The sequence below is a fragment of the Homo sapiens genome, chromosome 2 (assembly GCF_000001405.40).
Source record: "Homo sapiens chromosome 2, GRCh38.p14 Primary Assembly".
In the NCBI taxonomy this organism is placed as follows: domain Eukaryota; kingdom Metazoa; phylum Chordata; class Mammalia; order Primates; family Hominidae; genus Homo; species Homo sapiens.
In genome coordinates this window covers 233,753,558-233,777,531 of record NC_000002.12, presented here as the reverse complement: position 1 = coordinate 233,777,531, position 23,974 = coordinate 233,753,558, and the positions used below count along the sequence as shown (strand labels likewise).

At 43.8% G+C, this 23,974-nt stretch overlaps 10 protein-coding genes, 1 pseudogene and 1 further gene across 15 annotated transcripts in view, besides 1 other annotated feature; 1 reads left to right on the top strand and 11 right to left on the bottom strand.

Moving 5' to 3' along the window:
* MROH2A (maestro heat like repeat family member 2A) overlaps positions 1-1,808 on the bottom strand; it is a 57,695-nt gene extending 55,887 nt beyond the window's left edge. For both annotated transcript variants that reach the window (XM_024452842.2, NM_001367507.1), the window contains exon 1: positions 1,775-1,808. The gene's annotated coding sequence lies outside the window, so the exon portion shown is untranslated. The remainder of the gene's footprint in view (positions 1-1,774) is intronic.
* On the bottom strand, positions 4,232-17,262 carry UGT1A1 (UDP glucuronosyltransferase family 1 member A1). The gene is made up of 5 exons (NM_000463.3): positions 16,381-17,262; positions 10,367-10,498; positions 9,596-9,683; positions 9,093-9,312; positions 4,232-5,270 (listed from the first exon to the last, which is right to left on the bottom strand). The coding sequence occupies exons 1-5, from the start codon at positions 17,242-17,244 to the stop codon at positions 4,973-4,975; spliced, it is 1,602 nt and encodes a 533-aa protein (NP_000454.1). The 5' UTR covers positions 17,245-17,262; the 3' UTR covers positions 4,232-4,972.
* UGT1A8 (UDP glucuronosyltransferase family 1 member A8) overlaps positions 4,232-23,974 on the bottom strand; it is a 155,668-nt gene continuing 135,925 nt past the window's right edge. Inside the window, exons 2-5 of the mRNA NM_019076.5 lie at positions 10,367-10,498; positions 9,596-9,683; positions 9,093-9,312; positions 4,232-5,270 (exon numbers count right to left, since the gene is read on the bottom strand). Coding sequence (NP_061949.3) covers positions 4,973-5,270; positions 9,093-9,312; positions 9,596-9,683; positions 10,367-10,498 — 738 coding nt within the window. The 3' untranslated portion in view covers positions 4,232-4,972. The remainder of the gene's footprint in view (positions 5,271-9,092; positions 9,313-9,595; positions 9,684-10,366; positions 10,499-23,974) is intronic.
* UGT1A10 (UDP glucuronosyltransferase family 1 member A10) overlaps positions 4,232-23,974 on the bottom strand; it is a 136,853-nt gene continuing 117,110 nt past the window's right edge. The window contains exons 2-5 of the mRNA NM_019075.4: positions 10,367-10,498; positions 9,596-9,683; positions 9,093-9,312; positions 4,232-5,270 (exon numbers count right to left, since the gene is read on the bottom strand). Of these exons, the coding sequence (NP_061948.1) occupies positions 4,973-5,270; positions 9,093-9,312; positions 9,596-9,683; positions 10,367-10,498 (738 nt within the window). The 3' untranslated portion in view covers positions 4,232-4,972. The remainder of the gene's footprint in view (positions 5,271-9,092; positions 9,313-9,595; positions 9,684-10,366; positions 10,499-23,974) is intronic.
* Positions 4,232-23,974, bottom strand: part of UGT1A9 (UDP glucuronosyltransferase family 1 member A9) — a 101,403-nt gene continuing 81,660 nt past the window's right edge. The window contains exons 2-5 of the mRNA NM_021027.3: positions 10,367-10,498; positions 9,596-9,683; positions 9,093-9,312; positions 4,232-5,270 (exon numbers count right to left, since the gene is read on the bottom strand). Coding sequence (NP_066307.1) covers positions 4,973-5,270; positions 9,093-9,312; positions 9,596-9,683; positions 10,367-10,498 — 738 coding nt within the window. The 3' untranslated portion in view covers positions 4,232-4,972. The remainder of the gene's footprint in view (positions 5,271-9,092; positions 9,313-9,595; positions 9,684-10,366; positions 10,499-23,974) is intronic.
* UGT1A7 (UDP glucuronosyltransferase family 1 member A7) overlaps positions 4,232-23,974 on the bottom strand; it is a 91,400-nt gene continuing 71,657 nt past the window's right edge. The window contains exons 2-5 of the mRNA NM_019077.3: positions 10,367-10,498; positions 9,596-9,683; positions 9,093-9,312; positions 4,232-5,270 (exon numbers count right to left, since the gene is read on the bottom strand). Of these exons, the coding sequence (NP_061950.2) occupies positions 4,973-5,270; positions 9,093-9,312; positions 9,596-9,683; positions 10,367-10,498 (738 nt within the window). The 3' untranslated portion in view covers positions 4,232-4,972. The remainder of the gene's footprint in view (positions 5,271-9,092; positions 9,313-9,595; positions 9,684-10,366; positions 10,499-23,974) is intronic.
* UGT1A6 (UDP glucuronosyltransferase family 1 member A6) overlaps positions 4,232-23,974 on the bottom strand; it is an 81,599-nt gene continuing 61,856 nt past the window's right edge. For both annotated transcript variants that reach the window (NM_205862.3, NM_001072.4), the window contains 4 exons: positions 10,367-10,498; positions 9,596-9,683; positions 9,093-9,312; positions 4,232-5,270 (listed from right to left, as the gene is read on the bottom strand). In NM_205862.3, the coding sequence (NP_995584.1) occupies positions 4,973-5,270; positions 9,093-9,312; positions 9,596-9,683; positions 10,367-10,498 (738 nt within the window). In that variant the 3' untranslated portion in view covers positions 4,232-4,972. The remainder of the gene's footprint in view (positions 5,271-9,092; positions 9,313-9,595; positions 9,684-10,366; positions 10,499-23,974) is intronic.
* UGT1A5 (UDP glucuronosyltransferase family 1 member A5) overlaps positions 4,232-23,974 on the bottom strand; it is a 60,394-nt gene continuing 40,651 nt past the window's right edge. The window contains exons 2-5 of the mRNA NM_019078.2: positions 10,367-10,498; positions 9,596-9,683; positions 9,093-9,312; positions 4,232-5,270 (exon numbers count right to left, since the gene is read on the bottom strand). Of these exons, the coding sequence (NP_061951.1) occupies positions 4,973-5,270; positions 9,093-9,312; positions 9,596-9,683; positions 10,367-10,498 (738 nt within the window). The 3' untranslated portion in view covers positions 4,232-4,972. The remainder of the gene's footprint in view (positions 5,271-9,092; positions 9,313-9,595; positions 9,684-10,366; positions 10,499-23,974) is intronic.
* The window catches only part of UGT1A4 (UDP glucuronosyltransferase family 1 member A4), a 54,565-nt gene continuing 34,822 nt past the window's right edge, over positions 4,232-23,974 (bottom strand). Inside the window, exons 2-5 of the mRNA NM_007120.3 lie at positions 10,367-10,498; positions 9,596-9,683; positions 9,093-9,312; positions 4,232-5,270 (exon numbers count right to left, since the gene is read on the bottom strand). Coding sequence (NP_009051.1) covers positions 4,973-5,270; positions 9,093-9,312; positions 9,596-9,683; positions 10,367-10,498 — 738 coding nt within the window. The 3' untranslated portion in view covers positions 4,232-4,972. The remainder of the gene's footprint in view (positions 5,271-9,092; positions 9,313-9,595; positions 9,684-10,366; positions 10,499-23,974) is intronic.
* Positions 4,232-23,974, bottom strand: part of UGT1A3 (UDP glucuronosyltransferase family 1 member A3) — a 44,259-nt gene continuing 24,516 nt past the window's right edge. The window contains exons 2-5 of the mRNA NM_019093.4: positions 10,367-10,498; positions 9,596-9,683; positions 9,093-9,312; positions 4,232-5,270 (exon numbers count right to left, since the gene is read on the bottom strand). Coding sequence (NP_061966.1) covers positions 4,973-5,270; positions 9,093-9,312; positions 9,596-9,683; positions 10,367-10,498 — 738 coding nt within the window. The 3' untranslated portion in view covers positions 4,232-4,972. The remainder of the gene's footprint in view (positions 5,271-9,092; positions 9,313-9,595; positions 9,684-10,366; positions 10,499-23,974) is intronic.
* Positions 4,233-23,974, bottom strand: part of UGT1A (UDP glucuronosyltransferase family 1 member A complex locus) — a 187,861-nt gene continuing 168,119 nt past the window's right edge.
* Positions 17,651-17,825: a silencer, noted in NCBI's record as "fragment chr2:234668353-234668527 (GRCh37/hg19 assembly coordinates)". NCBI's record gives its function as "represses an EF-1alpha promoter that drives an FKBP-Casp9 reporter gene in an ReSE screen in phorbol 12-myristate 13-acetate-treated (for megakaryocytic differentiation) K562 erythroleukemia cells {active_cell/tissue: K562(+PMA)}" and the evidence as "EXISTENCE:reporter gene assay evidence [ECO:0000049][PMID:32094911]".
* Positions 22,187-23,216, top strand: LOC100286922 (DnaJ heat shock protein family (Hsp40) member B3 pseudogene; annotated as a pseudogene). 3 transcript variants are annotated; one of them, NR_037696.1, is made up of 2 exons: positions 22,187-22,388; positions 22,741-23,216. The product of NR_037696.1 is annotated as a DnaJ heat shock protein family (Hsp40) member B3 pseudogene, transcript variant 3 (transcript). The 3 variants fall into 3 exon arrangements; NR_037695.1 differs by having other exon boundaries at positions 22,187-22,525; NR_037694.1 differs by having other exon boundaries at positions 22,187-23,216.

Below are 23,974 nucleotides of genomic sequence, written 5' to 3'. Positions count from 1 at the left end.
CTTCCTCATAAAATTCCTGCGTTATTCCTTGTTCTGCACTTGGAGATACATTGATCAACATGAAATAGACACAAGCAGCTATCCCATGCCCCTTCTTTCACAGGACTGCCCCTCTGCACTACCTCCTCCCACTCCCCACTGAGCCTTCTTTTCCGTTTGAAAGATCACTGAGGTGATGTGGTTGCCAAGTCCATTCCACAGGCCCAGACTGCACGCCTACTGTGTGCAGCTAAGCATGGCTTTCCATGCTGCAGTGGATATAGGGTAGGTGGAACACATCTCTGTCCTCTGAAGGTCTTCAGACTCAACACATGAAAAGTGATACATTTAGAGCCAGAAGTGAATGTGTCAGCAATTGCTGTGTAACAAACCACCTCAAAACTTAATGACTGAAAACAACCGATTATTATAGTTCACAAGTGTATGAGTCACCTGCGTGGGTCTGTGGATCTGTGCTCTGTCCAGCCAAGCACAACTAGAGTCTCACCCATGTATCTCAGACAGCTAGAGGGCTGGCCATTGGCTCGCTATTGGCTGAAATGACTAGGGTGATGGGGACATTGTGCAGCAGGGCTCACCCAGGCTGTTCTCATAGCAGCTGGACAGGGTTCTGAGACAGTGAGCGGGAATATGAAGGCTTCTTGAGGCCTAGACTTGAAACCAGTGCTCATCACCTGCCACACTCTGTCAGCCAGGGCAGGTCACAGGCCAGCCAGGACCCACAGGCTGGAGAAATAGATTCCTCCTTTTCATGAGAAGAGTTGCAAAGTCACATTGTGAAGGATATGGCAATCAGGAGGAGTGGAGAAAGGGGTCATTTTTAAATTACACACAGGTCGAGTGTGTAAGCCATGGCCAAAAGTAAGAGGCCCCTGAGCATGTTATCTACAGAGGACATGAAGACAGTGAGACCAAGGAGGAAGAAGGGGGCTCTGCTTGGCTTTCCAAATTGAAAATACTTTTTTTCATGGGGAAACGCTGTCTCTACTAAAAAATACAAAAATTAGCCGGGTGTGGTGGGGTGGCATGTGCCTGTAATCCCAGCTACTCAGGAGGGTGAGGTAGGAAGAATCACTTGAACCCAGGAGGCGGAGGTTGCAGTGAGCCAAGATCACACCACTGCACTCCAGCCTGGGCAACAGAGTGAGACTCCGTCTCAAAAAAAAAAAAAAAAAAAGTAAATACATTTTTTTCTGATTATGACAACAATATTGAACTCACAATCCACTCACAAAATCAGCTTCTCTTAGGTGCTGTCACTCTATGGCACGTTGCACCACTACTTCTATGGGAACTACCCAGGAAATAAGAAAACGCTTTATTCGTAGCATCCTGTGAGCTTAAATACACAAAAGGCCCAAGACATAATGTGGGAAAATGGAAATATTGTGCAGAAGCTGACTGTATTAGTCCATTTTCATACTGCTATGAAGAAATACCCAGGACTGGGTAATTTATAAAGAAAAAGAGGTTTCATGGACTCACAGTTCCACATGGCTGGGGAGGCCTCACAATCATGGCAGAAGGTGAAGGAGGAGCAAGGGCACATCTTACATGGTGGCAGGCAAGAGGAAGTATGAGCAAGAGGGGGAAAAGCCCCCTATAAAACCATCAGATCTTGTGAGAACTCACTATCACACAAATAGCATGGAGATAACTGCCCCCATAATTCAAATCACTTCCCACCAGGTCCCTCTAATGACACATGGGGGTAATGGGAATTACAATTCAAGATGAGATTTGGGTGGGGACACAGCCAAACCATATGACTCACCCAGAGGCAGTCTCTACAGGGTGGATTCTGCCCGGCTCACAAGGTTCCCTCTCCCGTGGCCCAAGCAGCCACAGCAATGGGATGGTGGGAGCCATGTTTTTCTCTCCGTAATCCCTCTCGGCATTGATGATTGGACAGGGAGAGGACACCTGATCCAGCTGGACCAATCAGATTCTGACTTTCAGGAAGGTGGCACTCCAGGCCAGAGAGAATCCAGTCTGTCTCTTGTGGGATCTTGGGAGCTAGGGCAGAGGAATATGGGGACTGAGGGGCCGAAAAGACCCGGAGGAGAGGGAAGAGGAAAGCTGGCACTCTGACCCAACAGGGACAGGAGTGAGAAGGGGAGGCTCCACCCAGCGCAGGCCTGGCTATGAGCCTCGCGTCGTCAGAAGCCTGTCTCCTTACAAAAATACTGTTTATGCTTAAGGTATCCCGAGTTGGGTTCTCTCACTTGTAAACAAGAGTGCCTCAGTGCTGCAGACACGAAGGTGCAAATGAACATGAGCTGGCTGGAGGTCATGGCAACTTGGGGTCCCTGAGAGAGGTTGGGGCGTCAAGGAGCTAGGGGCAGTGAGGCCGGGAGATGGTCCCCGGGTGGACCAGGAAGGGCTTTGAAGGAGGGTGAACGTAGTTGAGGGGTGACTGCACAGCCTCAAGGATGTAGAGAGGGAAATAGTGGACAGAATGTGTTCCAGCCACTGCCTAGGGAAGGAGATGGAGCTGGGGTCAGGGAACCAGCTGAAATCTTCGCTCTGCACCACCCCAGCTCCAATTTGAAGCTTACAAATTTAAAACTTCTGCTTGTAATACAAAACAAAAAAAGTAAAACAAGGCAAAAAAAAAAAAGTAGAGAAAATACAGTAAATGACAAAAAGGACATTCTGGTGAATGCAATAAGCACTCTTACCAAATCCTCAGGGTAATACACTCCAATAGGAAAGTGGGCAAAGGGTATCCTCCAAAAAATAAACACAGACGGCTCATCAGCTTGAAAAGAAATACAATCTCTAATAATAACAATAATAAAAGCACATTGTAAACAAGATCCTGCTTTTCTCCTATCAAACTGACAGGCTTTCTTTTTCAAGATAGTACTTTGTGCTAATGAGGGTGTGGGAACCTGTCTCCCTCACACGCTGATAGTAAGTTTGGGGATGCAGTGTGGGGATTTCTTAAGCTATTTGTCCAGGGTAGCAGTGCAGGTGGTGCCCCACACAGATCCCCTGTGTACCTCTTCAGTGACAAGGGCGTGTGTTTTTTCTCGTCAGCTCTCTCTGTCAGAGCCCCCTTTGTGGCCTAATGGAAGGGCAGAGAAATTACTACTACCTGGGAGTACGTTTCAATCCCTGACGAGGCAAGTACTCAGGCACCCAACAGCCGTGTTCCTCATTGGGATAAGTCTGGGGTGTCTTTTCTCCACTGGCTCCCAGAGTCACCCAGCAGGATTAAGCTCCGATTGACCACAAGAGAGCCAGCTGTGGATGACCATCACCCCTTCTCACTCTGCCACTCCTCTATCAGTGTTTCCTTTACTTCCTAAATAAACTCCTGGCCCTTGAATCCTCATCTCAGGGGAACCCAGACTGAGACAACTAGCAATTTGTTGTAAAGCACTTTCCAACAGAAGTAATCATGAATATGTGGAAAGCCTTAGCTACTAGGATGTCCAGTGAGATTTTTGTTGTTGTTGTTGTTGTTGTTTTGTTGTTGTTGTTGTTTTTGAGACAGAGTCTGGCTGTGTCACCCAGGCTGGAATGCAGTGGCATGATCCGGACTCACTGCAACCTCCGACCTCCGAACCCCCTGACCCCGGTTCAAGCAATTCTCCTGCCTCAGCCTCCCAATTAGCTGGAATTACAGGTGCTGGCAACCACACCCGGCTAATTTTCTGTATTTTTAGTAGAGACGGGGTTTTGCCATGTTGGCCAGGCTGGTCTCAAACTCCCGATCTTAGGTGATCCACCCACCTCGGCCTCCCAAAGTGCTGGGATTACAGGCATGAGCCACTGTGCCCAGCCGAGGTCTTTTTTTTTTAATTAAACAAAATAATAAGAGTGAATCCAACCAGAAGTTATGGTTAAATAAATCCTGGTATATCCATGAAGTAGAATACTGCTTGGCCACTGAAAATGAATTAAATATTATACAAAAACACCTTGGGAGAATCTTCATGACAGAGTAGAAGAAAGAGTGTTAGCAAATACTAGGTATACTTAATATATCTGCAATATTTATAAGTATGTGTATTTGCCACAATTGTAACTGGGGTTATTTCTGGGCGATGTGATTACTGGTTATTTTTCTTTTCTCATGCATTTATGCATGCACACGCAATGAAGGCGTGTGTGTGTGAACCTCTATATTTTCCAAACTTTCTGTCATAATCATGCATTACTTTTGTAATTAGAAAATGCAACTTAACAAGAAATAAATGCGACACCAGTGAAAACACTTAAATAGAATTTATATAAATTTATTAATTTATTTTTAGTTGTAGGAAACATCAGAAAAAAAGTAAACTTGCCCAGCACTTCATAGCTGTATTTTGGGTTTTTATCAAATTCAGCTCCATTTGACATAAGCAATGATTATCTTCTCAAATACACCACCCACCAATTTCATAGCATCATTCTTTTTCCCCAAAGCAAGAAATCATATGCTGTTCTCAGTGCACTCCAAGCCATTCATTCATTTCACCTACACTCTAAAGGTACAAAGCTTCCCTTCTTTAAACACACAAGGTGGCACCTATGAAGCACGACAGAGATGAGGACTGACCATTATTGGTTAAGGATCAATTGCAACCATCTGCAGAAGCCAAAAGATAAGATTAAAACTGCCATTTGCAGTAGGGGCAGCCGTGGGACCACCTTTGAATCCCGCACTCCCAAACAGGCCATGTTTCAGAGTAAGAAAAGTAATCTAGAATGCCAGCCTGTCTGCACGTCCTCTGAAAAATGGCACATGTCATCCTGATCAAAGACACCAGAGGGGGCACGATACATATTCAAATATCTTTACTGACTAGCGAGTCTATTATTTTTATTTAAGAGAATTTTTTAAAGCACTCTGGGGCTGATTAATTTATGCAAAGTATTTCCTTAATAAGAATAAAATGAATTTAACACTGATTCTGTTTTCAAGTTTGGAAATGACTAGGGAATGGTTCAAAATTTTACCTTATTTCCCACCCACTTCTCAATGGGTCTTGGATTTGTGGGCTTTCTTAACTCGCCCTTTTTTCCCCAAGCATTTCCGGTAGCCATAAGCACAACATTTAAAGGTGATGAAGGCCACTGTCAGCACGACGGCCAAGAGGAAACCAATCACGTCCAAGGAATGGTACTGGTACCAGGTGAGGTCGTGGGCTGCGGGGCGCAGGTGTGGCGCGCCCTTGTGCCTCATCACAAACTCCACCCAGAACACGGCCAGGTCCAGCGGCTCCACCGGGCGGTCCTTGTGAAGGCTGGAGAGGCGCATGATGTTCTCCTTGTAACTAAACACAAAGACAGTTTCGTTATGCCTGGAACACCTGTGGTATGAACAATCCTCTCTTTATGCTCATGGCTGCTTAAGAAGACTACCAGATTTTCCAAACTTGGGAAAGGAAACCTGTTTCTATTATTGTTGTTGTTGTTGTTTTTAGATACAGAGTCTTGCCCTGTTGCCCGGGCTGGAGTGTAGTGGCACAAGCATGGCTAACTGCAGCCTCCAACTCCTGGGCTCAAGCCATCCTCCTGCCTCAGCCTCCAGAGTAGCTGGAATTAGTCATGCACCACTATGTCTGGCCAATTTTTAAATTTTTTGTAGAAACAAGGTCTTATTGTGTTGCCCAGGCTGTGTTACTATTATCACCTGAAAGGTTATAATTAAGAAACTTATTCTTAATAAATGTTATTGATCTCTTGAAAAAGAAGGAAGAGAAGGAGGGAAGGAAGCAAGGAAAGGAGGAAGGGAGGGAGGGAGGGAGGGAGAGAGGAAAGGAGAGAGGGACGGAGGAAGGAAGGGAGAAAAAGAAAGACCAAAATTATATTTTAGAAATATTTTAACCTTGCTTCCTACTCTTCTTCTTTTCTTTTTAGTGATATTTTGTGAGAAATTTCATTATATTTTCATACAGTAAAATAAAGAAAGGAAAATGTCACGTCAGAAATTATGAATAGTCTCCTATTTGAAGTTGTAAACAACCACCTCTGGCCAAATTAACAGCCATTTGTAAGTGCCAAATCCAAGGTGATGATATATTTGTAATTCAGTCATTGAAACATTAAACTATCTGGGTGCTAGATTTAGCATGAGGCAGGGTCTGTGCAGCCACTTAGTGCAAAATGGATTTCTGTTTATTCTGGACAGTGTTCATTGCCCAATCAGAACATCTCAATCCAAAACGGGTTAGGTGCTTCAACCCTTGGTGCTACAGGAATGAAGAGGAGATTGAAGAGGAGAGGGAAAAGGAGGAGGAAGTAGAAAAGAAAAGGGAGAAGAAAGAAAAAAAAAGGCACTCCTATTCAGGACTAATTATGATCGCTGTTGACTGATACAGTTTGGATATTTGTCCACACTCAGATCTCATGTTGAATTGTAATCCCCAGTGCTGGAGATGGGGCCTGGTGGGAGGTGTTTGGATCATGGGGTCGGATCCCTTGTGCTTTAGTGCTGTCTTCCTGATAGTGAGTTTTCATGAGTTATTGTGAGAGCCGGTCATTAAAAAGTGTGTGGCACCTTCCCCCCCAACTCTCTCTCGCTCCTGCTTTTGCCATGTGACATGCAAGCTCCCGCATTGCCTTCTGCCATGAGTAAAAGCTCCCTGAGGTTCCCCCGGCAGCCAAGTGATGTCAGCACTAAGCTTCCTGTACAGCCTGCAGAAACACGAGCCAATGAAACCTCTTTTCTTTATAAATTACCCAGTCTTGGGTATTTCTTTACAGCAATGCAAGAACAGCCTAATACACTGTCTTTAAACATATCTATAATGTTATTTGGAAACATTATTATAATGTAATATTAGTACTTGGCCATGAATCATGTTAAATATCATCTTCCTTTTACATAAACCTTAAGATGAATTTTCTTGGAACCTTCTTTTTTTTTTTTTTAAGTAAGACGGAGTCTCACTCTGTCGCCCAGGCTGGAGTGGAGTGGCACAATCTCAGCTCACTGCAACCTCCGCCTCTCAGGTTCAAGTGATTTTCCTGCCTCAGCCTCCCAAATAGCTGGGATTACAGGCATACACCACCATGCCTGGGTAATTTTTTTATATTTTTTTGGTAGAGATAAGGTTTCTTCATGTTGGTCAGGTTGGTTTCGAACTCCTAACCTCAAGTGATCCACCTGCCTCGGCCTCCCAAAGTGTTGGGACTACAGGCATGAGCCACCGTACCTGGCCAGAACTTTCATTCATTCATTCAATAGTAATTGAGCACCTATTATGGCCTGGTTGTCAGCATAAACTGATGTTTGAAAATTTTCCACTTCTTTTTATTTTGTGTAGGCACTATCCCCAGCTCAGAGTGTTGGAATCATGGAGATTCACAATCAGACAGGGATGGCTCAAAAATGAATAGATGAAAGTTAGTTAATAAGTTGAGCTCATTGATTTGTGTTTTTTTAAAAAATAATGTATTAGAGGACTTTCACCAAGTTGTTCTTAGGTTACAAGTAGTTATCTATACCACTGAAGAAAGAATCAAAATTATATCCATAATGTGAGCCTCAAGAAGGAGCTTCAACAGTGCAGGGAAAGAAGTCAGGTTTTAATGGTATTGATATGTGAGCAGGACATCCTGACATTGAGGTGGCCAGAAGAAGCCGCTGGAAGGAAGGAATGGGACCACACCACCCAACGCTCTGGGCACATGATGCTCAGGTTATGTGGACTTTTCATTTTTTTTTTTTTTTTTGAGACAGGGTCTCACTCTGTTGCCCAGGTTGCTGGAGTGCAGTGGCATGATCACGGCTCATAGCAGCCTCCAACTTCTGGGCTCAAGCAATCCTCCCGCCTTAGCCTCCAGAGTGGCTGGGACTACAGGCGTGTGCCATGGTGCCTAGCCAACATTGATCTTTTATCCAGTGCCACCACACACACATTAGCACCTCAAAGGTGGGAAGTCAGTCATCAGTCCTCCCCTGTTGTCCCTTGCTCAAGCTGGTGTGTCCCCGTGTTCCGTCTCCTCTCATCTGAACATGCTCCAGCTCTTCACATCTGTCTTCCTGACTGCTGCTTCTTTCTAAAGGAGGTAACCATGGGAGAAAGCAATGGACACTCTCATAAACACACGCACACACACACACACGCATATGAATGCACACGTGTGCACCCACACATGAGCACAGCCACATGCACAAACGCACACGCACATATGCACACAGTATCTATTGTCGGATGAAATCTACCACTGGCCACCACTTCTTCCCATAAGGTTCTAATAAGCCTATTACCAGTGAGCTTGACAGTAATATACTAACTTTAATCCAGAAATCATTTGCCCTTTGAATCGTTTTCAGGGCCACATTTGAGCAAATTTTCCTTTGCTCTTATTCTAAGACTTTGTCTGTGATATCTTATAGCTCCTTCATTCATAAACTCCATGGACAAAATTTCTCACAGGTTCCAGTGCTGCAAAAAGCTGTACTTCTAAGCATTTGAGTTGTTTTTCTCTTAAAGATACTATGCTTCTTATAATGGAGTATTTCTTTCTGTGCAGGAAACTTATGGATCAGATGTCTATTATGGCAACTTTTTATGTAAATTGGAGTTTTAAATCTAATGGGGGAAATAAAATTCTAAATAAATTATATGATAAATTATATAGAAACTAAAGAATCCTTTTATAAAGTGAATAATAACCTCTAAATTATCTTATTTATAAATCCAGGTCAGACGCGCTGGCTCATGCCTGTAATCTCAGCACTTTGGCAGGCCGAGGCAGGTGGATCACCTGAAGTCAGGAGTTCAAGACCAGCCTGACAAACATGGTGAAACCCTTTCTCTACTAAAAAATACAAAAATTAACCGGGCGTGGTGGTGGACACCTGTAATCCCAGCTACACGGAGGCTGAGGCAGAACTGCTTGAACGTGGGAGGTGGAGGTTGCAGTAAGCCAAGATTGCACCACTGCACTCCAGCCTAGGTGACAGAGCAAGACTCCATCTCAAAAAAAAAAAAAAAAAAAAAAGAAGAAATAAAAATCCAGATTTTTATGTATTTGTTTTTATATTTGAAACAACGCTATTAAATGCTACGTAAATGTTTTCATATTTGAAACAATTTTATCATGAATGCCATGACCAAAGTATTCTTCTGTATCTTCTTTCTTACCTTTTGTCATTGATGACTGCTTTTAGAGCATTTTCTAAATCTTCAGAAGTCATTTCCAGAACATTCAGGGTCACTCCAGCTCCCTTAGTCTCCATGCGCTTTGCATTGTCCATCTGATCACCAAACAAGGGCATCATCACCATGGGAACGCCATTGCATATGCTTTCATAAACACCATGGGAACCAGCATGGGTGATAAAGGCACGGGTCATCGGGTGACCTGAGATGCAAAATAGGGAGGATGTCAGCAGTTACATCTCTGAGTTTCACAGCTGGACACATCTAGGTTCTGAAAACACTCCAAAGACTCAGTGTTACTCACATGCCCTTGCAGAAATTTGCAGAAGAAAATGTGGGTTGAGATACCCCACTAGATAAAAAGCAATGTAGGATATGTTGGCCATAATATTTTCAAGCTCAACAATCCTTTAGAATAGCTGTGCTTAAGCCATTTTCTTAATTTGACCCTGGTTTGACCTATACATCCAATCCGCCCAACATACCAAGCAGATCGTTTTGGGGTAGCCACTTAACAAGTATCGTGTTGTTCGCAAGATTCGATGGTCGGGTTCCAGTGTACCGCCACAGGACCTGGGAGGGGCAAAAAGAGCAGAACGTAAAGAAAGAACATAATATGATTAGAAAACAAATCTGCTATACTAACTAGAAAACAGGGGTCCTCTGAAGGAACAGTCTTTAACAGAGTGGGAGGATCAGTAACTGTGAAGGCTTCTGAGGACTGGCAACTTCCGGCATCTTGTTTTGGAGGTTTAGTTACAAGGGTGTATGCACTACGTGAATTTGTGATAATTTATCAAGCTGTGCACTTAGGATTTTTTCACTTTCCTGCACTTTAAGGGAAAGTTTGCTTAATGAAACAAGTGGATGCAGAACTATAAGAGCAGAAATGTAAGACATAAATTCAGTGTTCTAACCAACAGCTTTTTGGAGAAATACTTCTATTTAATATGAAGAAACAATATCCCATTTATTTTATTTTTAAATAAATTCTCCCTAATACACTTTTGAGTCTCTTAGAGAAAATGATACTTCTGAGTGTGGTGGATCATAGTTTAATAGAGTATTTGAGAGTCAAATTGAAAACAATGACAACAACCACAACAACAAAAAAAACCTTTGGATTAATAGTTGGGAAGTGGCAGGGAAAAGCCAAATCTAAGGTTCCAATTAAGAGAATTAATCTGGAAGCTGGAAGTCTGGGATTAGCGCTCCTGTGAAAATAGATATGAGGCCATGGTATAGAATCTTCTTACTGTCTGAGGGATTTTGCCCAAAGCATCAGCAATTGCCATAGCTTTCTTCTCTGGAATTTCTGAGACCATTGATCCCAAAGAGAAAACCACAATTCCATGTTCTCCAGAAGCATTAATGTAGGCTTCAAATTCCTAGAGCCAGAAGAAAAATTTTCAGTTAATTTTTTCTCATATTCTTTGATGACTACATACAGTAAGTTATGAATTAGATATCTTCCTCTTAAGACTATGATTAAAGGCATGCGTGTTTGAGATAGAGTAAAAAATTATTAATATGTAAGTTTTACAGCATTTTCCTCTCCTTTACTTCCTTCTAAAGGAGGAAGGGTTCCTGCTTACAGAATTATCCTTGAGATGCAAAATCCAGGTAATGTGCTAGTTTTCCAAAAGAAAAGCACAGGTACATGCACACACATGCACACACCTGTACATACACACAGTGATAATTCCACTTAGAGAACACAGAGCAAGGCATCAGTGATACAGAAGGGAAGAGCTGGGAAGGGCGTGGTCCCTTTAAATGATATGGAAGTAGGGAAGGGAAGTGCTGGGTAGAAGAGGGTGTGGTCCCTGGCGAGGGCTCCACCCCCAGACCTGTGCCCATGGACCTAGGTGAGGACAGGCATTTTTGTTTTCCTGCCTAAATGTTTCATTTCCCAAAACCACCCTGGCCTGCCACGCCCCCATCATGTGCCTATAAAAACCCCAAGACCCTAGCAGGCAGACACACAGGTAGCTGGACATCGGGAGGAGCACATCAGCGGAGGGACGCAAGGACAGCTGGACATTGAGAAGAACTCACCAACAGGCACCGGCAGGCCACTGACCAGCAGAACAACGCGGAGTTTGGCTGAGGCAGTCGGAGGAGAGCCCAGGCCACCGAGCCCGGGCCACCGAGCCCGGGCCACTGAGCGGTCTGACTCCAGGGGAAACCCTTCCCATTCCATCCCCTTCTGGCTTCCCCCATCTGCTGAGAGCTACATCCACTCAATAAATCCTTGCACTCATTCTCCAAGCCCAGGTGGGATTCGATTCTTCTGGTACACCAAGGCAAGCCCCCAGGATACAGAAAGCCCTCTGTCCTTGCGACAAGGTAGAGGGTGTAATTGAGCTGGTTAACACAAGCTGACTATAGAGGGCAAAACTAAAAGAAGGCCATAACCCACGCCCACTGGAGCTTCAGGAGCTGTAAACATCCACCTCTAGACACTGCCGGTGAGGTCAGAGCCCCACAACCTGCCCGTCTGTATGCTCCCCTAGAGGTTTGAGCAGTGGCGCACTGAGAAAGTGAGCCCCTCCCGCTGTCACATGCTCTGTGAGGGGGACAAGGAAAGTTTTCCTGTTTCATCAACATGGCAATTCTTTTCTCACTGTAGATTTTCAGTGGTCCAATGAATCCCCCAAGAATCTCTCAAATGGCTTTATGGGTTTATTTATTATTATTATTATTATTAATTATTATTATTATTATTTACTTGAAGTTCTGGGATACATATGCCATGGTGGTTTGCTGCACCTATTGACCTATCCTCTAAGTTCCTCCCCTCACCCCTCACCCCGCCACAAGCCCTGGTGTGTGTTGTTCCCCTCCCTGCGTCTACGCATTCTCACTGTTCAACTCCCACTTATGAGTGAGAACATGCGGTGTTTGATTTTCTGTTCCTGTGTTAGTTTGTGGAGGATGATGGCTTCCAGCTTCATCCATGTCCTTGCAAAGAATATGATCTCATTCCTTGTTATGGCTGCATAGTATTCCATGGTGTATATGTACCACATTTTCTTTATCCAATCTACCATTGATGGGCATCTGGGTTGGTTCCATGACTTTGTTATTGTGAATAGTGCTGCAATAAACAAATATGTGCATGTGTCTTTATAGTAGAATAATTTATATTTCTTTGGGTATATACCCAGTAATGGGATTACTGAGTCTATGGTTTTATGTTTGCAAAGAATACTGAGGGCACTAATATGATTGTGTGATGTGGCAGGGCTTGCCCAAACTGAGGGGTTCCCTAGGACATGTGATGTTCAGTGCTAAAACCTGAACAGTCCTGAGGAAGCCAGGATGCTGGTCACCCTAGATGTGAGACACAGGAGACCTCTGACAGGGCTCAGCAAACGCAATTTGCACAGCAGGACTCCTGCCAAGCCTGATTTGGAACATGACCAGGAAAGCCCCAGACACTGACCATCCTTCTCCCAAGGTGAGCCCTCTCTCCCCGCCACTCTCACCAGCCCCAGGCCCTCGTGAGTCCTCTGGCTCTTAAGGGCTTTGTCTTTGCCTTTTCCCTTGGGCTCATCTAAAAGTCAGGGAGGACAGAGTCATCCTCCCCACCACCATGCTGCATTTTTTGGTTTGTAGCAAGAACACCCTGAGGATGGTTTTTCTGAACTCCTTCCTCCCTAGGGTCTGCACCACATCTCTCCCCTCTTTCTCTCCCTCTTTCTTGGGGAGACACAGCTCATTTCCAAGTGCTCTTCAAGTTCTTTCTTCTGAGCGTTGGTAAATGGCTTACTTAAATTTCCTAGGACCTTTGCTCTTCATGAAACCCACTCTTACACTGAAGCTCATCTGGAAAAGGCCGAGTCTAAGTTCTCCTCCAGGCACACCCTCCCACACGCCCACTCAGCAATCAGCAGGATGTGATTCACACAAAATTGAACCCACAGGTCCATAAACATTCGAAGTTAAATAGCAGGAGATCACGAAAGTTTAAATGGCACAAAAGTTCATCTGGAGATTCACGCAGGGCAAACTGCAGAGAAGTTGTCATCACGGCCAACTCCTACCTGAGCCAGCTACTATGAGGCTCAATAAAGGTGAAGTCCATCCCCTACTTGGCAAAGCTTCCCTTAAACTTCACCCTGACTTCACAGTTACCGGAATGACCAAAGAGTGAAGCAACATATTAACTGAAAATAACACTCCAATCCCCCACCATTGATTCCCTTCAAAGAAAAGATGAGATGCCCCTGAATGAGAGAATTTCCCTGTTCTGATGAGACTTCACCAGCCAAAATGAGACATTTAACATAACTCCTAAACTTTACCAAGAATTTTGTATTTTTAGTTTAGGCTTTTAATTAGATTTTCCCTTCCCAAATGCATTTCATTTTCCCAGAATTCTTCTTTAGCACTTAGACACCATGTGGGTCATCTGTGACTTCACCATCACGCATTCCCAGTAACCCACATATATCTCAACCTTCCCTGCTCCCAAGCTTTCCTCTCCTGGCCATCTCGAAGCCTTGGTCCTCACTAATCTTCTGTTTAGTTATTTTTCTCAGACCCAGCATTGCGATTGTCTGTGAACCACTGCTATCTTACCCTGGCAGGGGAGGAACATCTTGGAATTCTTGAGTTTCATTCCTTTTCTCCCAATGTTGTTCCACTATCTCTTTTCCTTCAGACACACCAAAGACACGCCAATGCCAGGTTGTGCTTTCTCTATGGACTTCTTTGTGCAATAAAAGTTTTATCTTTATTCTTAAAGTTCAGGAGTTTTATCAAGAGTATTGAGAATAGGACCATCAACACAAGAGGAATGGTAGTGCAGAGTGGCATTTTTAGTTAACAAAGGAAGAAAGAGAAAATAAGAACAGTAACTTGACCAACCAGTAGAAATCCGGAAAAAGGAGAATGGCAAAGTCAACTAAACATAAAGTAAACTGAGAGAGTTACAATCAAATCTATTAATTGTTAGATTCAAATAGGCAAAATGCACTTATTAAAGCAACTGCCTGACTGGATTAAAAATACCAGTGCCATGTTGTTTAAAAAGGAAGAAAGCTTGAAGACAAAGGAGTACTAAAGATGTGCTAGGGAAATGTAAACAAAAATAATACAGAAGTGGTAATATTAATATCCAAAAAGTGGAATTTCAGATTAAAACATGCAACAAGACAAAACAGGTTACTAAAAGGTACAATTTAAAAACATATTTTCACACCTAAGCCTGACTGCACCAAACAAGGCAACAACAAATATGTAGTCAACACAGTTCACCACTTAGACTTTTATGGTTATATCAATAAATGCCAGAAAGGCAGCTGATAAAGTTCGGTGCCTCTCCTACAAACATCCTCACGCAAAGAAGGAAATTATCTAAATCAATAAAGCCTGTTCAGAAAACAATGGCTAACATAATGCAAAATAATGAAATGATAATCAATTTCCACTAAAATAGCAGCAAGACGGGCATCTTTCCTATTGCCAGAATTATTCAACTGTTTTTAGAGATTCTAATAAATTCAATAGCCCTGATATTTGGCATGGAATTTATAAGAGAAGAAACCAAAATTTCTTTATCAGCAAATGACTGCCTATTATTTTTTATTATGAAAATCAATATTTTGATGAGATAGCTGAGTAATGAGTAGATAATCAGCTAGAGATAGAAATGCAAAAAAATAACACATTCACAGTAGTGACCAAAAAAAAAAAACCGTGTAAAATACTTAAGAAAAGATGAATGAGAAAGAAACAGAACAAATGTTTTTTAAACTACAAAATAGCTTATCTTTTTAAAGGAAGTGTTTGAGGTCACAACAACAAAACTCCTGGAATACAAATTGTAATGTTCCTCTGTGGGGAACTAGACTAGATCTCCAGCAGAATACACTGTGGTACACAAGTACCATGAAATACTATTTCATAGTTTAAAAAGTAATAGCATTTAAAACTGGAGTGATATCCATGACATTATCGGTAAGTGGGCAGTGGGAATACACTGTTACTCTATTTTGTAGAAAAAGCAACCAAAAAATTTTACATATGTTTCTATATACATATTGGTATGTAATAGCTGGAGTACAAAGAACTAAAAAGAGCTATTGTGGATTACTCTCGACCCATTAACTAGACCTCGGTTGGCACCTTTCTTCTCATTCATTAATGTAACACATATTCGGTGGGTGCCTATTCTGTGCCTTAGGTGCTGAGATTTATGGGGCGCCAAATACATGCAGACCCATTGGCAGGTGTTGAGGACGCCGCATACAGTGGATGTGATTAATGCAAAGTCACACAGGTCCCCACATGGCTCATGATGTGAAGCGGACAATCAACAACTATCTAAGTGAAATGGCTGCCATATTTGATGTGCTATGAAGGAAAATGCACAGAAAATTAAAAAAAATAAAATACAAATCACATTGGAGGTATAGTGGAAATAAGGTCACCTCCGAAGGTGATATCAGTCCCCTTAATGGGAGCCAGACGCAGCACCTGGGAAGTGCCTGGGCTGCCAGTAGATCCTCAGCCAATCTTTGCAGGATAAGTGAATGAACGCTCTCTGAAATGTCACCTCCTCAAAGAGTAATTCCCTAACGCTCCATCTGAAGGAGCCTCTCCTGTTCTTTTCTATCCTCTGCTGAGATTTCGATGAGGATGTGAATGCTACTTTTTGCATACTTCAAACTCTGTAGGGGAAAAATAAACCTAATAGCTTGAGAATGAAACCTACAACCTTTCTGTATCATGTCAGAACCTGACTGTCTGGTGATTCACTCATTAGAAGAGAACGGACTGCAGGATTTAGCTTCTTATCAGAATATTTAGAAACTGGAGCTTTAACCAGGGTCACAAAGGCAACTTTCATTTCCAGGATCTATCATCATCAAAGAATGATTTCATCAGTCCTGAACATTGCCTGCCTGACTGAATCCAGGGCAAGGTGCAGGCTTCAACTGAGTTTTCTGCAGGGTGCCCCAAACCCAGCATTCTGTGCCTATGGCATTTAACAGCTTGTTGTTTCTAATTGATTACTATCCACTGGAGCACACAGAGTAAAATGTCCAAGGAATGCTTTCCCGAAATCTCAGATACCAAGAAATCATCCAGAAGATGATGCCAAAGACAGACTCAAACCTAGGAGTCAAAAATTAACAAAAGAGGGCATTTTAAATTATCTCAGAATGCTTGCTCAGCATATATCTGGGGCTAGTTAATCGATCCAAAGTAATACATCTGAAAGAATATACGCATGTAAAAGTCCCACTCCAATACACACCTGGGATAGTGGATTTTGGTGAAGGCAGTTGATTCCACCAACAAAAACCATATTGGGCATGATGGGCCTAGGGTAATCCTTCACAAAGTCACTTCTAAACAGCCAGACAGATGCAGAGCTCAATAGGTCCTGGACAGTCACCTCTCTCTGAAGGAATTCTGAGGCAAGGGTTGCATACGGGGAATAAACCACGTCGCACAGAAAGTTCTGTGAAAAGGCAATGAGCATGTTCTTCACCCGCTGCAGGAAGGTCATGTGATCTGAATGAGAGGAGAGAGGCCTGGGCACGTAGGAGAATGGGTTGGGGCACTGGGTAGCCTCAAATTCCAGGCTGCATGGCAGTGCATGCAAGAAGAATACAGTGGGCAGAGACAGGTACTGGGCCACGATGGGGCTGCAAGGAAGGAAAGGGTCCGTCAGCATGACATCAAAGCTGCTTTCTGCCAGGGAGGCCATGAGCTCCTTGTTGTGCAGTAAGTGGGAACAGCCAGACAAAAGCATAGCAGAGTCCTTTTTTATTTTCTTGTATGTTTTGATCACACGCTGCAGGAAAGAATCATTCTCAAAAACATTATGCCCGAGACTAACAAAAGACTCTTTCACATCCTCCCTTTGGAATGGCACAGGGTACGTCTTCAAGGTGTAAAATGCTCCGTCTCTGATGTACAACGAGGCGTCAGGTGCTAGGACAACTATTTCATGTCCCCTCTGCTGCAGCTGCTGGATGGCCCCAAGCATGCTCAGCCAGTGGCTGCCATCCACTGGGATCAACAGTATCTTCCCAGCATGGGACACCACTGGGCCCAGCACACACAGCAGCAGGCCCAGGACAAGTGGGCGTCCGCCCTGGGACTCCACAGCCATGGCGCCTTTGCTCCTGCCAGAGGTTCGCCCTCTCCTACTTATATATATATATATGGCAAAAACCAATCGATACACCAAGTTAATGTTTGACTGTGTCACGTGACTATAAAAAGCTGTCAGTCCACAAAGGTAGCAGGGAGTTCACTTTCAGAGATAAAGAAGGTGGAGCTTTATTAGGTTTCTTAATAGGCAACAACAGTTGAACTGGCTGGAATTTCATACTCAAATCACATTCTTGAGTGAACACAGCAAAGTACTTCCAGAACCTCAGGATCCATTAAATTAGTATTTCCACAGACCAACAAGTGTTACCAGAGAGGAAGAAGGACGACTATGTAGTGAACAAGTTAGGCTTCTTTTCCAGAAATTAAACAGAAGGCTTTTTAGAAAGCCTTTTAGAAAGAAAAGAACACAACTGTACCCCCGCTTTCGCCATGGAAACCTGTAAGAGTGCCCACTCCACAGCTCCCCCGGTACTGCCTGCTCACTTGTATCATGTGTTTCATTCCTTCGTCCAACAATATTTATTGAGTCCAGCACAGTGTGGGGTCTTGAGGCTGCAGCAGAGCCCACCACACGAGCACGCGCCATGAGGTGAGCCAGACTCACAATTTAAACACATGAGCAGGAACTTAGAAATCGTGAAGCATGCTAAGAAGGAAATGAACAGGTGGGTGGGTGGGGCGGGTCGGGGGTGGGGGGCGTGCTGGGGTAGAGAATGACCAGAAAGGGAAATTCACTGGAGCGCATGTGAACAGAAGTCTTCCCCAAGGACAGGCCTTTATTAGTGTGAACCTGAAAGAGCCAGTCCTGTAAGATAGATCTTGAGTGGCTAACTGGGCCTGGATTTAAAATAGAGCCAACTGGCCCTTTGCTTACTACAGGTCACACGGTTACTCTGAGTATCCTGAAAACCTGTACCTTTTTATAGTTGAGATTTTCAGCGCTCACCTGAACCAACCAATTAAAGCTCACCCACCTCAGCCACTCAGGGCTCAGCTTCATCAACCAATCAGAATGCAGCTGCAGTGACCAATAAGAACTAAGCAAGTTTCCATCCTTCATTTGCATAAATGGACCTGATTGGGAACCTGGGAAGGAACTTTTTGCCGTGAAACCTGCCTGCCTTGTGTTCTGTGGAACTCACCTTCATTGCGTACCAGAGGCTGTAACTCCCTGGTTTGCAAACTGTTCACTAGAACAAAGTCTCTTTCTTCCAAATTCCTTTTCAGAGAACTTTTGTTCACAACAGGAAACCAAATAGATAAGCAAATTCAATTAAGTTAAATTGTACTCATTCCACTGGCCCAAGATCCAGGGGAAAGGCATTTGGGGAAATTCTGATGACTGATTTGAAGTCAAAAGGGAAAGATGAGCAAAAACAACTCAAATTTGTATTTATTGACCATGGACTATGGGGCAAGTATTGTGCAGCCAGAATTGGAAGTATTACACTCTTTTTGGGGGGGATATACTGCTGTACTATACAATTCCAAGATAACTGCACAGATCCCAACATTTGAACCATACACATCACTGGCCAGCCATACTTGGGGATGTGCTTAGAGGATCATAGAGAAACAGCTAACTAGAGTTTTGGTGTCCTATGGGACATATTAACAGGTAATTAGGGTACCCTCTCATTCTTCTCCTTAGAGTAGGTACTTTGCATGCACATGCACACTGAAGCTCCTCCCCACACCCAAACACTCTTCATTTTTTAGGACCAAGATTCTGGGCAAGCAGAATAGACATAGCAATGCTTTCACTCTTTGTTGTGTCCTTATTAGAAATTCTGAAATTCACAGTTTAATTTAAACCTTAAGGGTGATAATTCTTCCAAAGTCCCAATGCTGTGTGAGTTCATTTGCAGATTATAGACAGTAAAGGGGCTATAAACACATAAGTCACCACTGTAATGATTTTATGACTTTCCTGCATCATGCAGAGCTTCCAAGCTTTTTGAGGCTGCTTCTGCTGTGTACCTGGATGGTTTGTGGCCACAGCTCTGCCCTTGACCAAGAAATACTTACTAATCTGAATAGTGGGCAATCCACATTCATGCTCATGAATTACAACAGAGAACCACTACTAAGCAATCCAATTAATATCTGCTCTGAAACCAAAGCAGAACCCATTGCTAATTCCCTCATCTGCCAAATATTTATGGAACGTGTGAGCCCTACTGGATGGCAGTCACTATGCTAGGAACTAGGCCCAGAAAGTCAAGTTAGAAATGGTCCTTGCCTGAAAGGAGGGGTCAGGTAGACAGAGACAAACTCATGACCAGGCAATTACAGGGGATGGTGCTCTAGGGGCTGAGAAATCACACAGCAGGGCAGCAATATGATGGTCTTGCTTTGGGGGCTGCTAAAGAGTGACACGTCCATGGAAAGTGTTTCTGGAACCCTTTTGAAGCTACTTTCTTTTTAAGCTGAAGACATAAGTTAGTAGGCCACCATCAGACACACTACCAGCTCCTTTCATCTCCTTTCATCAAATCAGAATGACAGGCTTATTACTAAAGGAGCAACATAAACATGTCCAGTGCCCTGTAGATCATCTACAGGACCCTCCCGGGAAGCAAAGCCACCTTCCTTGAATCCCTTGAATTCCTTGAATTTCCAAAATCCCAGAAAAACAGCATTTTGTTCTGTTCTGCCTTGTATCTTTTAGCAGTTTGCATATCTGTCCTTGCTATTAGACTATAGCTATATCATATATACATATATATATATATATATATATATATTCCTTACAGGCAAGATTTTGGCTTTGGAATCATGCTATCACTCAGGTGCCAGTCCATGGTTTTGGAGACAGTAAGCGCTCTGGACATGTTTCTGTATAGAAGTGACTTTTCTTCTCTTTTCGTTCTAGACCCTGCATCCAAGCCAGCAAGTAAGTGCTGAATCTGGATGTTTCTACCACTGTCTCTCAGACCCAGCTGTCATGGTCCCATTTCAGGGCCCCAGCCCCCCTGTCCCCCAACCCCCAGCTGTCCCTTCTGAATCATTGCATCGGCTGCCACCTGAATAACCCCACCTCACCACCACTTCTGGAACCTTGGTCAGCAGCTTCCTGGGCACAGAAAATTCAGAGTCCTCTGCCTTGCTCTCAAAACTCTGGGATAGACCCCAGCCCACCTGTCCAAGCTCATTCCTCCTCTCTAGCCCTTCTGCTTGCCCCCTCCCTCTGCCTCTTACCCTCTAGCCATTCTGGATCCCTTGCTGTTCCCCAAACTTCCTTTGATGTTCTCAAATTGCTTTGTTCAAACTGAACTCTACCCTTGGCCAGCTTACTATGACTGTTCATTGCGTGCTTACCAAGTGCCAAGTCCGGGTTTCAGGTTATGTAACTAGAGGTTATATAAACTCAGAAGTTTGTTCTGGTGAGATAACACATCCTCATTACACCTAATACCCTTTATGAACCGTTAGAATGTTCTTTGGTTAATCATTTTCCCCTTGGAATTGAGTGACCTTTACTAGTGTATTGCCCCACAATTTATCAAAGCAAAGAATCCAGTGTCAAAAAGAGAATAAGGAGGAGGTGAAGAGAACTCAGATCTCAAAAAAAGTCCCCCCAAAATTCATCGTCATTATATAGCAGTTCTAGCGGAAATAATCACTGCATCCCATGTTTATCCCCAGTGCTATACACACGGCCTGCAAGTCTTAATGGTTTCGATACAGTAAATAGTGCTGTATTTCCTTTTGTCTGAGAGGATCTCCCTGGTTGTTTTAGCAGTCAAGAAAAGTGAATAACATGCACATTTGACCCTCCATATACTTGGGCTTCACATCTGCAGATTCAGCCAACAGCAGATTGAAAATATTTGGGGGGAACAACAATGAAAAAAAAACAGTACAAATAATACAAATAAAAAACCAATACTGTAAAACAACTATTTACATAGCATTTACATTTATTAGGTAAAAGTAATCAAGAGATGACTAGAGGTTTAAAGGAGGATATGGGTAGGTTATATACAAATACTGTGTCATTTTATAAAAGGAGCTTGAGCATCTAGATTTTGGTATGGGGAAGGAGGGTTGTCCTAAACTAATCCCTTCAGAATACCAGGGACTACTCTGCTAGACTAGCGATTCTCAAAGTATGAGCCAGGAAATCCTAGGGATCCCCAGTAATTTTTCAGGAGAATTTTACAAAGTCAAAACTATTTCCGTAATAATGTTACTTGATTTTCTCATTGTCATTCTCCCACAAGTGTACAGTGGAGTTTTCCAGAAGCTACATGGGGGATGTGTAATATCACAATAGATAGAATGCAGAAGCTGACATGAGAATCCACCTCTCTATAGAGCCAAGTACTAAAGAGAGAGATGCAAAAACTGTAAAACGATGCCACTCTTCTCACTACATTTTGTCTCAAAAAAAGTTACATAAAAAGGTTTGTTAGTGTGTCATGGGTTTATTCTTCTTAAATTGCCCAATGAATATGTCTTTTTAATTCTGTTTTAATCTCTAATGCAGTACATATGATAGGCATAATCCAGATGAACAAAAGCAAATGGGCACCGGGGCTGGAACGTTGGAGAACCGCAGTCCTAAACAACAGGATGTCTTCAGCCCCGGTCAGACTAAACTCACTCCCACCACCCTCTTCCCTCCTGTGGCCGAGGAAAAAGACTGATATAAAGCCTACTTTAAGAAAAACAGTTCTTCAGGCAGCCAAAGTCAAGGCCCTCTCTTTTCCCCAACCTCTTTTTCCCATCCTTTTTGGAGACCATGGCTGGTTGGAGGCCGGAGTGGGCGGGGCCTGGTCTTGGAGCATCACAGGGCCTCACAGAGCCTCACAGAGAGCAGGGCCAGTCCCAGGAGCACTGCATCTTGGGATGCGAGGCGCTCACAGGCCTCGGCCAATGAGATGTGGCTGCGTCATAAGGGGCGGCCCTCCAGGCGGCCCAGGTCGCCAAGCCTCTGACCTGTGCGCGGGTGCTGGCAGCCTTGCCGCTCGCTGTGCCAGTGCCCCGCAGGCTCTTTGGCAGTCCAGCATAGTGGACTACTACGAGGTGCTGGGAGTACCCCGGTAGGCCTCGTCCGAGGGTATCAAGAAGGCGTACCGCAAGCTGGCGCTCAAGTGGCACCCCGACAAAAACCCCGAGGACAGGGAGGAAGCGGTGAGAAGATTCAAGCAGGTGGCTGAGGCCTACGAGGTGTTGTCGGACGCGTAGAAACGCGATATCTATGACCGCTATGGCGAGGCGAGGGCGGAGGGCGGCTGCGCAGGCGGCAGGCCCTTCAAGGACCCCTTCGAGTAGGTCTTCAGCTTCCGTGACCCCGCCGAGGTCTTCAGGGAGTTCTTTGGCGGCCGGGACCCATTCTCCTTTGACCTCTTGGGAAACCCGCTGGAGAATATTTTGGGGGGTCAGAGGAACTCCCTGGGAAGCAGAAGCAGAGGGTCTGCACCCCTTTTCTCTGCCTTCAGTGAATTTCCAGCTTTTGAGGGTGGTTTTTCTTCTTTTGATACAGGATTTCGTTCCTTTGGCTCCCTGGGAAGTGGGGGCCTTTCTTCCTTCTGCATGTCCTACGGTAGTGATGGGACAGGCAGCTTCAAGTCCATGTCGACTTCCACTGAAATAGTTGATGGTAAAAAAATCACCACCAAGAGAATCATTGAGAATGGCCAAGAAAGGGTGGAAGTGGAGGAAGATGGAGAGTTGAGTTAAAGTCCTTCATAATAAACGGCATAGAGCAGTTGCTCCCCATTGACACCAAGTAATTCCAGTCCACATTTGCCTTTAAGCACATCTGGAGGAATAGCGGACTTTTTTTAGGATTGAAAGTGAACTTTACTTTCAGAACAGCTGTACCCAAGAATTTATAAACACTTTATGCCAATGCCTGTCTTTATTGTTGGGACTGCACGGATAGGACCTCTGTTTGTCTTTCGATCATTGTAAATATCTGTATGCAATTTGCTATTTATTAAACTTAAGCCTGAGGCAGACAATGATTATTTCCTAGTGCTAGGACAGAATGTTCATCTCAGCACTTTGAGCCTTACCTTTTTCCGTTGGGAAAGTGTGAGCCAGGTGGTTTGCTCTAAATCATTTGACTTCAATGTTTTACTGTGTGGTGGTGAAATCTATGAATATATTAATACTCTGGCTTAATTTAATGATGGCTTTTAATTGCACATAAATGCTCGTGATGTAGGAAGAGTTGACCATTATTTAGATAAAAGGTTAAACCCAGGCTTTATAAAAGCAGGTAAACCTGGCAAAGTGGATGCATTCGTTTCCTATCATGGCTGTAACAAATTACCCAAACTTGGTGGCTTAAAACAACACACGTTATTCTCTTAATATTTTGGAGGTCATACATTTGAATCCCATATCACTGAGCTGAAATCGGTGTAAGAAGCATGTTCCTTCTGAAGGCTGAGGACAGACCTTGGGGTTATGTGGTTGGTCAATGATATACTAGGACTGTCTTCAGCCCTAACGTGGTTCTCCAACTATGGTAGGTCCTGGAAATGTAAAGAAAAGCGTTTCCAAAGGGCCACGCAAAACTGTCCTATTGCTGTGCTTGGGGCATATCAAATTAGGTTGATGAAAGCCAAGTGCATCTGTAATATTGTTTGGGTGAGGCACCATACACACAATTGAGAAAGTACCTTTGTGTTGGCACGGGTTATGCCCCAAATGAAGACCTTTTGGGGCATATTGCCTTGGGGTAGTCCATCACAAAGGGTCCCATCTTC